The 16,493-nt window shown below is 41.5% G+C and overlaps 1 protein-coding gene across 2 annotated transcripts in view, besides 1 other annotated feature; it reads left to right on the top strand.

The window, feature by feature from the left end:
* The window catches only part of GEMIN5 (gem nuclear organelle associated protein 5), a 50,801-nt gene that overhangs the window by 23,285 nt on the left and 11,023 nt on the right, over positions 1 to 16,493 (top strand). For both annotated transcript variants that reach the window (NM_001252156.2, NM_015465.5), the window contains exons 14-23: positions 1,889 to 2,028; positions 3,029 to 3,200; positions 7,109 to 7,336; positions 9,451 to 9,564; positions 10,298 to 10,420; positions 11,752 to 11,847; positions 12,251 to 12,388; positions 13,441 to 13,588; positions 15,617 to 15,736; positions 16,277 to 16,487. In NM_001252156.2, the coding sequence (NP_001239085.1) occupies positions 1,889 to 2,028; positions 3,029 to 3,200; positions 7,109 to 7,336; positions 9,451 to 9,564; positions 10,298 to 10,420; positions 11,752 to 11,847; positions 12,251 to 12,388; positions 13,441 to 13,588; positions 15,617 to 15,736; positions 16,277 to 16,487 (1,490 nt within the window). The remainder of the gene's footprint in view (positions 1 to 1,888; positions 2,029 to 3,028; positions 3,201 to 7,108; positions 7,337 to 9,450; positions 9,565 to 10,297; positions 10,421 to 11,751; positions 11,848 to 12,250; positions 12,389 to 13,440; positions 13,589 to 15,616; positions 15,737 to 16,276; positions 16,488 to 16,493) is intronic.
* Positions 6,091 to 6,590: an enhancer, noted in NCBI's record as "NANOG-H3K4me1 hESC enhancer chr5:154287897-154288396 (GRCh37/hg19 assembly coordinates)". NCBI's record gives its function as "activates a minimal SCP1, AML or CMV promoter by ChIP-STARR-seq in naive and primed H9 embryonic stem cells {active_cell/tissue: H9 hESC(naive and primed)}" and the evidence as "EXISTENCE:reporter gene assay evidence [ECO:0000049][PMID:30033119]".

Raw genomic sequence — 16,493 nt, 5'->3', positions numbered from 1 at the left:
TTTCCTATTAATAGATTCAACAATTTTTAATGTGTTGTCATATTGGCTTTATTCTGTGTGCGTGTATGTATGTAGTTTTTCCTACCAATTATCAGTTTGTTAGTTTAACTTAATATATAATAGTTTAATCTTTCCCTTAAAATATACACAACTATTATTTGTCAATTTAAACAAATAGTTTAGGCTACGTGTGGTGGCTCATGCCTATAATCCCAACACTTGAGGAGACCATGGCAGGAAGATCACTTGATTAGCTGGACATGATGGGTACCTATAGGCCCAGTTACTCACAGGCTGAGGTGGGAGGATCCCTTGAGCCCAGGAGTTGGAGGCTACAGTTAGCTATATGACTGTCACTGTACTCCACCCTTGGCCACAGGGTAAGACCTAGTCTCTTTAAAAAAAAAAAAAAAAAAAGTAAAATAGTGTAATCAGCCACCCATATTCTAGTTGTGTCAGTTGATCCAATGATGTTCTTAATAGTGATTTTTTTTTTCTCCAGTGCAGATTCCAATGCAGGATCACCTATTTGCATTTTGTTGTCATGTCTCTTTAGTCTCCTTTCATCTATAATAATTTCTCAGTCTTTTAAAAATTATTTATTTAGGCCGGGCGTGGTGGCTCACGCCTATAATCCCGGCACTTTGGGAGGCCAAGGTGGGCGGATCGCCTGAGGTCCGGAGTTCGAAACCAGCCTGGCCAACATGGTGAAACCCTGTCTCTACTAAAAATACAAAAATTAGCTGGGCTTGGTGGTGCATGCCTATAATCCCAGCTACTCAGGAGGCTGAGGCAGGAGAATGGTTTGAACCTGGGAGGCAGAGGTTGCATTGAGCCGAGATCGTGCCATTGCACTCCAGCCTGGGAGATGAGTGAAACTCCATCTCAAAAAAAAAAAAATTATGTGTGTATTTATTTATTTTTTAGAAACTGGGTCTCACTGTATTGTTCAGGGTGGAGTGTAGTGGTGCAGTTATAGCTCATGACAGTCTCCAATTCCTGGACTCAAGCCGTCCTCCCACCTCAGTCTCCTGAGTAGTTGGGACTACAGGCACATACCACCATGCCCAGCTAGGTTGGTTTTTGTTTTTTGTGTTTTCCTTTTTTTTTGAGACAGGGTCTCACTCTGTCACCCAGGCTGTAGTACAGTGGCACGATCTCAGCTCACTACAACCTCTGCCTCCCAGGCTCAAGCAGTCCACCCATCTCAGCCTCCTATGTAGCTGGGACTATAGGTGTGCACCAACACACCCGGTTAATTTTTGTATTTTTTTTTTAGAGTCAGGGTTTCCACAGGCCGGTCTTGAACTCCTGAACTCAAGCAATTTGCCCACCTTGGCCTCCCAAAGTGCTGGGATTATAGGCGTGAGCCGACACGCCTGGCCAAGCCAGACTTTTTAAAATCTTATGTGACACTTTTGAGGAAGATAGGGCACTCGTTTTGTAGATGCTTTCTCATTTTGCATTTGTCTGGTATTTTCTCATGACTATATTCAAATTATACATTTTAGCTAGAATATCCTATAAGTTATAATGAGACCTAACACTTCTTGTGGTAATCTATATGCTAAGCACTGTGGATGTGTCCACACTCTTAATAACTAACAATGTTGCCTGCTAAAAATCACCTAGACTTGGGAGGCTGAGGCAGGAGAATCGCTTGAACCCAGGAGGCGGAGGTTGCAGTGAGCCGAGATTGCGCCATTGCATTGCGCCATTGCACTCCAGCCTGAGCAACAAGAGCGAAACTCCATCTCAAAAAAAAAATAACCTAGAAAGTGTATGGCAAAATCTTGATTCTTGTCATGTGAATGCCTTCCTGGATGTACTTTGTTTTGTTTTTTGTTATTAGTAGTAGCAGCAGTGATGTCTTTCCTTTGCCTTTTAGAGAGCAGCCCTGAGTCTCCAGTGACCATTACAGAGCCCTACCGGACCCTCTCAGGGCATACGGCCAAGATTACCAGTGTGGCGTGGAGCCCACATCATGATGGAAGGCTGGTATCTGCTTCCTATGATGGTACAGCCCAGGTACTATTGTGTCCTTGTCCCTGTGGGTCCTTCACTGTGTACTCTAACAAATTCTTTCTTCTTTTCCCCCAGTTGTGAACAGGTTCCCCCTCCCCCATTATCATCATCTACTGAAGGAGATTTTCTGGGCTCTAGGAGGCATTTTAGTTTCATTCCACATAGGGCCTAGGCTAAGACTGGGTTTTTTTTTTTGTTACTTAGATGAAGGGGAAAGTATTGATAGGAGCTAGCTAACTCTAACATTTTTACAGATTTCATTCTGACTCACTATCAGTATGGTGGACTAATATGATATGCAAAGTACTCTCTTCTGTTCAGACACTGAAATGTTGGCTAAAAATCACAAAACAATTTTTTAATAATAAATTGGTAAGTCAGAAATCTCCAAGTTCTAAATAAATAAAGATGAAATGCCAAGCCAGATCTATGAGGGAGGACTTGTGGATATCAGAACTAGAGCTGGGGACTTAACATCTGTGATGTATCTCGCTTAGTGTTGAGTTGTAATTGAGATGTCTGCACAAAGCTGGGAGCCGCAAAGGGCTGCCTTCTGTGAAACTGAGTTCAGAATAATTCAAGAAATAGAAAGGAAATTGGCCAATTACTCAAGGAGTTGGAGACAAAAGATTCACCTATGAGAAATTAGAAGTCTAATTTCTGTGCTAGATGTGGGCTATTTTCTTCGTGATACCAGAATCTCAAGCCCAAAAGTTAACATACAGTATTGGTTCGAGACAGTGAAATCCATGGGACACCAGTAGAAGCTCATTCAAAATCATCCCCGTAGAAATGTCTATGCATCTCCAAGCACAGAAGTCTCTCACAGGAAATAGCACTCTTCTGAAATTGAACTTCTAAGAGAAAACTCTAAATCACCTGAGGAAATAAGAGGCCGCAGATTGTTTTTGTTTTTTGTTTTTTGTTTTTAATTAGAAAACATACTGCCCAAACAATAGAATAACCAGAAAATGTCTTTTCGGCCATGTGCTTTTGGGTTTAGGTGTGGGATGCTCTCCGGGAAGAGCCCCTGTGCAATTTCCGAGGACATCGAGGTCGACTGCTTTGTGTGGCATGGTCTCCTTTGGATCCAGACTGCATCTATTCAGGGGCAGATGACTTTTGTGTGCACAAGTGGCTCACTTCCATGCAAGATCATTCCCGGCCTCCTCAAGGTCAGTCAGAACCTAGAGCTTATCTAATTCTTTTTCTCCCTTTCTTAATAATTGAGTTGATCAGGATTGAGCAAGGAAGACATTCGTGTAGGGCATTAGTGTCAGTAGGGCAGGGGTCTGAGCCTAAGCAAGAAAGCAGCCACAAGGGCTTGAGAACAACACCACCCACAATAGGAAAGAGCATACCTAGCACTCAGATCTTGGTTTCTTTTTTGAGACAGAGTCTCGCTCTGTTGCCCAGACTGGAATGTAGTGGCGTGATCTTGGCTCGCTGCAGCCTCCACCTCCTGGGTTAAAGCAATTCTCGCACCTTGACCTCCCTAGTAGCTGGGACTACAGGTGCGCACTACCATGCTGGCTAATTTTTTTGTGTTTTTAGTAGAGACGGGATCTAGCCATGTTGGCCAGGCTGGTCTCAAACTCCTGGCCTCAAGTGATCTGCCTATCAACCTCCCAAAGTGCTAGGATTACAGGCATGAGCCACCGTGCCCAGCCCAGATCTTGGTTTCTAAATGACATTCTCCACTAAAAATGTCCATGGCTTCTTGGAGAAATGGCTGGTTCCAGTCTGGGACAGGTAGAGAACAAACTGAACCTGGAACATTCTTATGCCAGAAAGGAAGGCAGTACTCAAAGAATTCAGGAGACATGTCAAAAGGACAAAAGAAACAGCTTGAAGAGGTTCCCACTGACCAAATCTGGGACAACTGTTAAACATAAGTAAGAGGAGGCCAGGTGCGATGGCTCACACCTGTAATCCCAGCACTTTGGGAGGCCGAGATGGGCGGATCACAAGGTCGGGAGATCCGAGACCATCCTGACTAACAGGTGAAACCCTGTCTCTACTAAAAATACAAAAAATTACCCGGGCGTGTTGGCGGGTGCCTGTAGTCCCAGCTACTCGGGAGGCTGAGGCAGGAGAATGGCGTGAAGCCAGGAGGCGGAGCTTGCAGTGAGCCGAGATTGCGCCACTGTACTCCAGCCTGGGTGACACAGCGAGACTCCGTCTCAAAACAAAAAAAAGAGAAAGTAAGAGGAAAATTCCATTCCTGGCTAAGAAAGATTAATTGGTATCAGACTTGCCATAAGCAACTAGAAAGCTAGACAAAATATATTAAGCAACTGCTGGGCACAGTGGCTCATGTCTGTATTCCCAGCACTTTGGGAAGCCAAGGCTAGAGGATCACTTGAGGCCAGGAGTTTGAGACCAGCCTGGCAACAGAGCGAGATCCCATTTCTACCAAGAACTGCAAAATAAAAGCAAATAGGAAAAATTGGCCAAGCATGCTGGCTCACTCCTATAATCCCAACACTTTGGGATGCCGAGGCAGGAGGATGGCTTGAGCCCAGGAGTTCAGGACTAACCTGGACAACATAGGGGGACACTGTCTCTGTGAAATAAGTTTTTTTTTTATTTTAAATGAAAGAATATATTAAACAACTAGAAATTTACACCCAAAGAAATGAAATGATGTGTCCACATAAAGACTTGTAAAAGAATGCTCATAGTAGCTTTATCTGTGATCACCAAAAACTGGTAACAATCCAAATGTCCATCATCAGATAAATGAATTAATTGTGGTATATCCTTACAGTAGGCTTCTATTCCACAATAAAAAGAAGGTAACAACTGATAAAGAACAAAATGGATGAATCTAGAAAAACATTATGCCAAGCAGAAGCAGCCAGGCACAAAAGACTACATACTGTCTAATTCTGTTTATGTGAAATTCTTTTTTTTTTTTCTTGAAACGGAGTCTTACTCTGTCACCCAGGCCAGAGTGCAGTGGTGCACTCTCGGCTCACTACAACCTCTGCCCCACAGGTTCAAACAATTCTCCTGCCTCAGCCTTTTGAGTAGCTGTGACTATAGGTGCGTGCCTCACACCCAGCTAATTGTTTGTGTTTTTAGTAGAGACAGGGATTCACCATGTTGGCTAGGCTGGTATTGAACTCTTGACCTCAGATGATCTGCCCGCCTCAGCCTCCCAAAGTGCTGGGATTATAGGCATGAGCCACTGCGCCCGGTGTATGTGAAATTCTTCAACAGGCAAAACTAAACCACAGTGAGAGCAAATTAGTGATTGCCTAGGGCTCAAGCAGGGGGTATATCTTACTACAAAGAGGCTTGGTGGAAATATTAGATTAGTACAAAAGTAATTGTGGTGGTGGTAGGTACTTTGTACCAAAGTATTTAAAAATTGGTGTATTTTATTATATTACCCCTCAGTAAAGATGATTTTAAAGTAAGCAAAGGATAAAAACCTTAAAATGTAAATATAGAAACCTTAAAAATGTAAATGTAACAGTAATGGAAGAATTCATGAGTCCAGACCGATATAATAAATAAATGGGGAGAAGCACAAGCTCTTCCTTGTGGTAGGATGCCAACTAGATGCCAAGCTCTTCCTTGTGGTAGAATGTAGAGTGAAATCCTGGAATTAGAAGTTCACCTTGTGGGCCAGGCACAGTAGCTCACGCCTGTAATCCCAGTACTTTGGGAGGCGAGCTGATCACTTGAGCCCAGGTGTTTGATACCAGCCTGGCCAACATGACAAAACCCCATCTCTACAAAAAAAAAAAAAAAAAAAAATACAAAAATTACCCAGGCATGGTGTCGCACACCTGTAGTCCCAGCTATTCAAGAGGCTGAGGCAGGAGGATTGCTTGAGCCTGGAAGGTCAAGTAAGGCTGCCGTGAACGGAGATTCTGCCACCGCACTCCAGCCCAGACAACAGAGCAAGAACCTGTCTCAAAAAAGAGAAAAAAAGAAAAAACAAACTCACCATTTGGCAGTCATCATAGTAACAATTTTTAATCAAGAAACATCAGTGAATACAAAAACTAGTAGATGCAAATACTTAGTAGTTAAACAGGGGAAATACCCTTTTAGGGAGTAACTTGCAAGACACACCCTTAATCAGGTGATCAAAGTAAACCAAATGGGACGAATAAAAATTAGCTGCTACCTCATAGATTGCCCTGCATGAACACAGCAGCACTAATGTGCATTCCAGCTAAAGATGCATACCCTAAATCTAGTCATGAAAAACATCTGGCAGACCTAAATTGAGGGAAATTGGACAAAATAACTGTCTTGTAATCTTCAGAAGTTTCAGATTATGAAAGTCAAAGGAAAACCATGCAACTAACTGTTCCAGGCTGAAGGGAACCAGAAAGGCATGGCAACCAAATGTACCATGTGATCCTGGATTGATTCCTTTTGCTATAAAAGACATCTGGGTAGGCCGGGCGTGGTGGCTCATGCCTGTAATCCCAGCACTTTGGGAGGCCGAGGCAGGCAGATCACCTGAGGTCAGGAGTTTGAGACCAGCCTGACCAACATGGTGAAACCCCGTCTCTACTGAAAATACAAAAATTAGCTGGGCGTGGTTGTGCGTGCCTGTAATCCCAGCTACTCAGGAGGCTGAAGCAGGAGAATCGCTTGAACCTGGGAGGCAGAAGTTGCGGTGAGCTGAGATCTCGCCATTGCACTCCCGCCGGGGCAAGAAGAGCGAAACCATCTCCAAAAAAAAAAAAAAAAAAAAAAAAAAGGACATCTGGGTAAAATTGGCAGAACTTAAATAGAGAGTATGGAGTAGGTGGCAGTAGTGAATCGTGTTAATTTCCTGATTTCCATGGTTGTACTATGGTGACGTCGGAGCATGTCCTGTTCATAAGACACACACTAAAATATTTGGGTGTTATTGGGCATCATGTTTATGATTTAATGAAATTTCAAAAGGGTTTGGTTAATATTGTGATAATATAATTCTAAAAGTTCATTGAGAAGAAAGGGAATGGGTAAAAATGCTATTAAAGAGGAATGAGATATTGGAGTTTACCACCTAGAGTGCTTTTAACCAAGAATGTATACTTTAGTCAGTCCTTTATTGTGATTCTTGTAGGCAAAAAAAGTATTGAATTGGAGAAAAAACGGCTCTCTCAACCTAAGGCAAAGCCCAAAAAGAAGAAAAAGCCCACCTTGAGAACTCCTGTAAAGCTGGAATCGATTGATGGAAATGAAGAAGAAAGCATGAAGGAGAACTCAGGACCTGTTGAGAATGGTGTGTCAGACCAAGAAGGGGAGGAGCAAGCACGGGAGCCGGAATTACCCTGTGGCCTTGCTCCAGCGGGTATGTGGCAGAATCCTGTGTATCACTAGGATTTCATGGTCGTGTCTGGGAAACTAAGCTAGGTCCTTACTCAGTTTGAAACTTCGCTGTTCCCATTTTTCCAACTCTTGGAAACAGCATTAGTTTTTTTTGTTAAGCTTTATTCAAGTCTCTAAAATAAACATCTTTGAAGTTTTAAAGGGGTTCTAGTGGATGTTTGTGGTGGAAATAGTAAAGTTCTACAGAGAAAACTTCTTATTCAACTTGGGCAAGGTAAAACCGTGGGACGAAGCGAAGCTGGGTCAGTTGTGTACATAGGAACTTACATGGGAAAAGTTTTAACAGTATGACATCAGTAGCCACATTTGGTGAAAGAAACTACTGTCCCTTACAAATGTCTGACCTAGAAGCTACCACCACTGTGGGAACTTGCAAGCTCTCACCCCCTTACGTGGAGTTTGTACGCGGCTTTCTGTCTTCTCACAGAAAAAAAATGTGTGAATGGTTATTAGGTTTTTCTAGTGAGTTAAGCTGTAGTGATGGCTCTCAGATGTCTCACAAAACAGTGTTCTATCACTAACAAAAAAACTGTTAGGTAAAAATTTTAGCACTCTTTTTATTTTGTACATTTACTCGGGACCTGTTGAGAATGGTTTGTCAGACCAAGTGATAAATATCTGGTCCCTGGTAAAATAAACGATTAAATAGCAAACAGTGTAAGTAGAAGCAGTAACTCATACTTAATTCTAAAACAGAATCCATTGATGTGACAGTATTGAAATGGCTAGAATATAGGATACAAGGCATTCCTGATGCTCTCCATCCCAAGGGATAGCTGTTAGACACATAGTTGGGGTAAATAAAGAGCAAAAAGCCTAATGGATTTATTATTTTGGCTCATCAGAATGCTTTTCTAGTCGGGTACAGAGACACATACCTCTAGTCCCAGATCCTCAGGAGGCTGAGGCAGGAGAACCGCTTGAGGCCAGCCTGGGCAACACAGCAAGACCCCCCATCTCTTTATTTTTCTTTTTTTTAAAAAGTCTTTCTTTCACAAAATGGCTATACAAAACATGGATCAACAAGTTGTTTTTAAAAAGTTCCTGTGCTCAGGATTGTGACACCATATTGCATACACCTAGTATTCTCTATTATTAAAGTTACTCCTGTTAGTGTAATTAAATATGCAATTAGTACTTTATGACCTAGAAATGTAAAAAGTGCTTTGTCACCTGAGCAAAGTATAGGAACTCCTTGGCTTATGGTATAAAGTTGTGGAGGGCTGGAAGCTTTTTCCTTAGTCAAAGTTCAAAGTAAGGCGGGCATGGTGGTTCATGCCTGTAATCCCAGCACTATGGGAGGCCAAGGAAAGAGACTTGCTTCAACCCAGGAGCTTGAGACTAGCCTAAGCAACATAGGGAACCCCCATCTTTGCAAAAAATATAAAAATTACCAAGATAATGGCTTGTGCCTATAGTCCTAGCCACTCTGGGAGGCTGAGGAGGGGAGGATCACCTGAGCCCAGGAGGTTAAGGCCTCAGTGACTGTGATTGCACCCACTGCACTCCAGCCTGGGCAACAGTTATATCTTATCTCTAACCAAAAGAAAAAAAAAAAAGTAAGCCAGGAGCGGTGGCTCACGCCTGTAATCCCAGCAGTTTGGGAGGCTGAGGCAGGTGGATCACCTGAGGTCAGGAGTTTGAGATCACCCTGGCCAACATGGCGAAACCCTGTCTCTACTAAAAATACAAAAATTAGCCAGGCATGGTGGCTTGTGCCAGCTACTGGCGAGGCTCAGGCAGGAGAATTGCTTGGACCTAGGAGGCAGAGGTTGCAGTAAGCCAAGATTGCGCCACTGAATTTCCAGCCTGGGCGACAGAGTGAGACTTCGTCTCAAAAAAAAAAAAAAAACCAAAGTAATAGACTTACAGATTCCTGAAAACAGCTAGTTTGGGAGGTGGGAAAGGGGAAACTACTCCTACTTCTTTTCCAGTGCATTTTATCTCAAAAGTTTTGGTAATAGATGAATTGATTATATTGCTAAGCTTGGAATGGCTCTTAATTTTTACAAAGAACTGAAATTCTGTATTATTGTTATCCTTAACTTTTTTTTTCCTTTTTCCCCCATGATGTAGTTTCTAGAGAACCAGTTATCTGCACTCCAGTTTCCTCAGGCTTTGAAAAGTCAAAAGTCACCATTAATAACAAAGTCATTTTACTGAAAAAGGAGCCACCAAAAGAGAAGCCAGGTTGGTATCTAGTAATTAAAATACAGTATTTTGTTAAAGCAGCCTAAAATATTACATATATTACACGCAACTGTCAAAAAACAGTGTGGTTTCTTGTTTGTTTTTATAGGTTCAAAATATTTGTAGGTTTTCTGATTATGGGTTTTTTGTTTGTTTTTTGTTTGTTTTGAGACAGATTTTCACTCCAGTCACCCAGGCTGGAGTGCAGTGGCACACTCTTGGCTCACTACAAACTCCACTTCCCGGGCTCAAGCGATCCTCCTGCCTCAGCCTCCCGAGTAGCTGGGATTACAGGCGCCCGCCACCATGCCCAGCTAACTTTTGTTATTTTTAGTAGAGACGGGGATTCACCATGTTGGCCAGGCTGGTCTCGAACTGCTGGCCTCCAGTGATCCGCCCGCCTCAGCCTCCCAAAGTGCTGGGATTACAGGCGTGAGCCATTGTGCCCAGACTTCCACTTCCATTTTGGGTCATGCTTTTGAATTTTTTTTAGCACTTGATGAAATGTTTTGCAGTTGTTGACACTACATCATAAATGTTAGCAAGAGCGTTTTTGTGTGTATTGTGAACAATGCCCCCAGCAAATTTATTTTGAAAGCCTCTTTATTAGGAGGAGGAGCTTTCTCTGCCTGTGGTGTCGTCCTGCCAGTAGGTTACATTCACACAATAGGCATTCCGTTTTATGTTTCTGATCAGTTCTCCTTCAGATAGTATGTACTTTATTAAATTTCAGAAACCTTAATCAAGAAGAGAAAAGCTCGTTCCTTGCTTCCCCTGAGTACAAGCCTGGACCACAGATCCAAAGAGGAGCTTCATCAGGACTGTTTGGTACTAGCAACTGCAAAGCACTCCAGAGGTACAAAAATGTACTTCCTTGGCCCATCCATAGTCTTCCGGGACTGGTATATAAGGGATGTTTACTTATTTATTAAATGAATGCCCAAAGAAATGTCTAAATTGTTTTCTGTATTTTTATGTTCTCCAGCTCTCCCTTCCCTCCACATCCCTATACCCCTACACCTTGCTGCCAAACTCCCCATTGTGACCCACCGTCAGCACTGCCATGGCTTTGAAATGTAGCGCTCTGCTTTTATTCTAAATCTAATTCCTCCCAGCCATCTGTGTGCCAGAATTGGTATGTTGGCCTAAGTATCTCAGCATGAATAAACTCCTTCAACTCTTTTCCCCATTGAACAGTATCCTATGGAGAAAAAAATCTTTTTTTCTTATTGGAAATATGCTCATAATATGGCATTTTTTTAGAAAAAAATTTGATGGAAGCTTTTGCTTTGTAAGTTTTGTTTTGAAGGGTTGTTTTATTTTTGTTTTTCAAAGTCTTCATTTAATGTCCACTATTTTGATATTTTAATAACTTTATTTTTTAAATTTGAAGTTTACATGTGGAAAAGGGATGCACATAATAAATAAAATTGATGCTTAAGGGGCTGAAGCAGAAGGATCACTTGAGCTCACTTTAAGGCCAGCCTGGGCAACATAGTGAGACCCTCTCTCTATTTAAAAAAAAAAATTTTTTTTTAATTTTTTTTTCAAAGTAAATCTTCCTCCCAGTCCTCTGTTTCTCCTCCCCAGGAATGGAGGACCATCCTCCCTCCCGGTTACTGTCTCCCACTACCCTAACAAGGGTAGTCACTATCCTGGGCTTCCATTTGTTTCTTTCTTTTGAATTTTTGAACTGTTTTGTCTGTATTGCATAATCAAACTATTATCAGTTTCTTGTGTCTTGATGGAGATGTTTTATGCTTTTATTATATACATAGCCTTTTTGGAGCTTTGTGATGACTTCCTATAACTTACATAGTTAACCTAGTTTCACATTATTTTCCTTACTGGAAAATTACTCAGTTGACTTTTTTTTTGAAGCAAAGGATGAATATTGAATCCCCTTGTGGTAAGTCCCAGTGAATATTAAGGACTTTCTTTTGCTTATTAATATTGTTTTGCTTGTTTTTTACTGCACTTAAATATGTTCTGATTTGGGGTTCACTTTTAACATTTTAAGTGTTTTTGTGTTTTGCTCCCTTTGTAACTGCAGGAGTCTCTGTTAGAGCTCTGATTCTCTCAGTGTCTGAAGTGGGTGTTCCAAACATATATTCGGAAGTTATTGGAGAGAAAACTGTAATCAATGTAATGACTTCATCTGATTTTTTTGCCTTTTTAAATTAACAGAGCTGAATGAAGATGTGTCTGCTGATGTTGAGGAAAGATTTCATCTGGGGCTTTTCACAGACAGGGCTACCCTGTATAGAATGATTGATATTGAAGGTGAGACAAATCCAGTCAACATAATCTCATCCATCTTTATACTTTCCCAACATTTTGTGTGCACCTCTTTGATGGCTGTCATCCTGTGATATTATAATGGTTAGTTTTACGTGTCAGCTAACTAGGTTTTGAGCTCCCTGATTTACATATTGATACAACCCTTGCATCATCATAGGATCCTAAACATACAGCATTCACTCTGAGTACATGTGAAGGTGTGGGAGTGTACAGTGACCAAGTGGGCTTCAGATCTTACTGTAATCACTCTGGTAGGTGACACCCATCAGAGAATGACTGCATATTTTAGGAGCTCACTTTCTCTTCTATCTTGCCTTTCTTTTCCTACAAGTCAGTAACAGATGTTTCTGAAACACCTTCCAAACATTATCTCTCTTTCAAACAGGAAAAGGTCACTTAGAAAATGGCCACCCTGAGTTATTTCACCAGCTTATGCTTTGGAAAGGAGATCTCAAAGGTGTTCTCCAGACTGCAGCAGAAAGAGGGGAGCTGACAGACAACCTTGTGGCTATGGCACCAGCAGGTATGGTTTTTGTTTGTTTGTTCTTTTCAACAAAAGCTCTATCATCTCTAGGATACGTCCACTAAAGATGGCTCTTAGCACAGTCTTAAGCTTGAAATCACTTACAAATAGATACAAAGCAATAGACAGCAATAGACAAACTAATAAATCCAACCCAACCCCTTTGAAAAAAAGCAGGTCACTGACACTTTAATTGGCAAAAGCATAATTGGTGAGAACTTCTTGAAGGACAATTTGGCCATGTCTAGTAAATTTTAAAAGATATAATGGCACAAGTCTGTAGTCCCCAGCTGCTCAGGAGGCTGAGGCAGGAGGATTGCTTAAGGCTAGGCGTTCAGACCTATAGCGCTCTGTTAATTGTGCCTGTGAATAGCCAGTGTATTCTAGTCTGGGCAACATCATGAGACCTTGTCTCTTTAAAAAAAAAAAAGGCTGGGTGTGGTGATTCCTGATTCATGCCTGTAATACCAGCATTTCGGGAGGCCGAGGTGGGCAGGTCACTTGATCCCAGGAGTTTGAGACCAGCCTAGGCAACATGGCAAAAGCCCATCTCTACAAAAAAATTAAAAAATTATCTGGGCATGGTGACATGTACCTGTAGTCCCCGCTACTCGGGAGGCTGTGGTGGGAGGATCACCTGAGCCCGGGGAGGTTAAGGCTGCAGTGAGCCATTATTGTGCTACTGCGCTCCAGCCTGAGCCACAGAGTGAGACCCTGTCTCAAAAAACAATAAAAGGAAAGGGAAAAAAAAAAAGCACGTAGTCATGTTACCTTTGGCTCATCAGTTATGATTATAGGAATTTAACTGTGCTCACACATTCCTTTCTGTATCTTTTCAACTTTGTACTGTTTTGTTTGTGTTACATAATCAAACAATTGATGCTTCAGAATGTGTAGATGAAGCAGATGATCCATAATGGCAGCTGAATTGGTATCTAAATGTTCTGCTGAATGCATTGACGAAAACAAGGCTTTTTCAACCCAAATGTACTGGGTATTGTTTTTACTTTTTCTTCAACTGTTTTTTTAACCACCATCTTTTATTTTTTCAGCTGGCTACCATGTGTGGCTATGGGCTGTGGAAGCTTTTGCCAAACAGCTGTGTTTTCAGGATCAGTATGTCAAGGCTGCTTCTCACCTACTTTCCATCCACAAAGTGTATGAAGCGGTGGAGCTGCTCAAGTCAAACCATTTTTACAGGTCTGTGTGGTCCTAGAGTTGGGATAATACTTGGACATAATGTGAAAATAACCTAAACTTCTCTATTGTTAAAGTAACATAAATAGAAGAAACAGTCCTCCTGCTTCAGCCCCCTGAGTAACTGGGACTACTCAGGAGGTGCATGCCACCACATCCAACTAATTTTTTAGTTTTTTGTAGAGACGGAGTCTTGCTGTGTTGTCCAAGCTGATTGCCAACTCCTGGGCTCAAGCGATCCTCGTGCCTCAGCCTCCCAAAGTGCTGGGATTACAGGCATGAGCCACCATGCTTGGCCAAGATTTTCTTTTTGTTCTACCCTGCTTTGGTTTTGTTATCTTCCTTTAGAGAGTGTTAAACTTTGTTTTGGTAAGTAGTAAAGTTGTGTATCAGCTTGATCTTTTCATGGCTTGTTTTTAAACTTCGTTAGGGCAAGTTTATCATATTCTAGAATTACCTCCTACATTTTGATATCTTTCTTGAATGCCTTATGCATTCAACAAATCAAAACTCAGATGTCTCCAAGTCCTGAGTAAGCTCTGGGAATTGTTCAGCTTACAGTTACCTAGTCATTCTTTGTTTAGACTTAAGGAGTTTCCTTTACATACGTGGCTTTTAATTTAGCCAAAGACTCAATGGGATCTCCAGGCAGAGTTGTGGATGTCTTTCTCTGGACAGCTTCCTCCTTCCTAGTATCCTGCCCCTCAGATTTCCATTGTTTCCTCTTCTCAACTCAGAGACTGCTGAGGTTTTGCTCAGGTTTTCCTTAGGAAAATGGCTTTGGGCAGAAAGCCAGTGCCAAGATAGGGCTCCCATCATTTGTTTCTGTTCTCTTAGGGCTGACCATCCTATGCTGCCTGTTACCTGGTATCTAAAAACAGTTGTTTCAGCCATTTTGTCCAGTTTTTTAGTTTTATGGCAGAAAGGTAAGTCTGGTCCCAGTTACTCCATCATGGCTGGAAGTAGAAGTCCCAAAATACTTTCAAAATATTGCTCTCTCTAGATCACTTTAATCTAATAAAACACTTTTTTCCCAGCTACAACTTTATGTTGGCTACAACTCAGCAGTTGTATGTCATTTGAAAAATATTTGTTTACTGAGTTGTTCAGATCTTCCAAATGTTAACATATCTTATTATAAAATACCCAAAAATACCACATTCCTTACTATCACCATCAGTCTCATCAGAAAATTCTAACTTATGGGAAACTCAGGCACACAAGTGGTAGGTACAAGTTTTCTAAAATTCTAATTTTTGCTAGAAAACTCGCATTTTATCATTAGTAACAAATACTGTTGGTTGTTTTTAATGAAGTGATAGGCCTACTTTGTTCATTTTTGAGAAAAACATCTGCCAAATACCCAACACTGAATAACTGTTATTTATGTTAGTCATTTTTTTTTTTTTTAGAAGAAAGAAGGTTCTATGAAAAAGCAGCCAGTTTAGCTTGTAATTTGTTCATACAGGTGTTACCTAGAGACAACCATTCTACTTTGGAATGCAGCAGAGAACACAAAATGTTCTTCCCATTTGTCACACAGAATATTAAAGTGTTTTGGACTTGACGGATTTAGTAAAATTTGTAATTTTTACTGCTTCATTAAGGGCATTCTTCCTTTTTTTCCACTGTAAGAGCCACCGCCTTCCTTCTTAGATGCCAGGTTTCCCAATCACTGCTTTGGCACAATCAGTGCAAATGTCAACACATTTTTTTTTTTTTAATAAAAAAGCACATAACTGACTCTTAGCATTGTTACGAAAATAGTTTTAACCTCATGAACCCTCTGAAAGGTTCTTGAGGACCCCCTAGGAATCCACAGACCACAATTTAAGAACTGCTGATCTAAGTGAAGAAACGAATGCAGCATATGTTTCTAATTTGTCTATATAATGCAAGTGCAGTTTTTAAAGGAAGTTGGAACAATAAGACAACACAAAAGGGACAGTTTGTCCTGTCTTACAGCCCCTCCTAGGACCATACACAGAGGAGCCTTTTCAGATTGGCTAAAGGGTCTGTTCTTGCCTTTAGGGAAGCTATTGCGATTGCCAAGGCCCGGCTGCGCCCGGAGGACCCAGTCCTGAAGGACTTGTACCTCAGCTGGGGAACCGTCCTAGAAAGAGATGGCCACTATGCTGTAGCTGCCAAATGGTAAGCCTGAGGAGTGGAGGGATGCTTCCAACATAGGAGAGCTTCTGCCAGGAAGGGGAGGACAAGAATACAAGTAATAAGTTTAGAGGTGGAGGTAAAGCAGCAAGGAATTATTTAAAAGATATGTATATTCAACTTAGTTTCATAAGACTCATCAGGAACTACTTCCTGATTTATTTATATAAATCACTATAACTATTCAAGAAAAACCTCAGCAGCAGATTAAGAAATTATGCATTTTTCTAATGGTCTCTTATAACATCAAATAAAGGAACCTCAACCCATGCTGGATTGAACCCAACAGAGGAGTCATTCCCTCTCATTTTCCTTATGTCCTTAACCTATATGATATTGTTTCTCATACACTCTGCTGAGTTGTGTTGGCCTCAGCCTTCACAGGAACAACCGGGGCAGTGACATACCTGGGACCACAGGAAGGCACATGCAGCAAAGTAGATAGAAAGAAATGATTCCATCCTCTAGGAATGGGAATAAAAATCTGTTTGTGACATTTTCTTCACATTTTTATTCATATTATAGCTATTTAGGGGCCACTTGTGCTTATGATGCAGCCAAAGTTTTGGCCAAAAAGGGGGATGCGGCATCACTTAGAACGGCTGCAGAGTTGGCTGCCATCGTAGGAGAGGATGAGTTGTCTGCTTCCCTGGCTCTCAGATGTGCCCAAGAGCTGCTTCTGGCCAACAACTGGGTGGGAGCCCAGGAAGCCCTGCAGCTGCATGAAAGTCTACAGGTCAGT

This window comes from Homo sapiens, chromosome 5, assembly GCF_000001405.40.
Source record: "Homo sapiens chromosome 5, GRCh38.p14 Primary Assembly".
NCBI classification, from domain to species: Eukaryota; Metazoa; Chordata; class Mammalia; order Primates; family Hominidae; genus Homo; species Homo sapiens.
The sequence above is the reverse complement of the archived record's forward strand: the minus strand, read 5'-3'. Positions and strand labels throughout refer to the sequence as shown.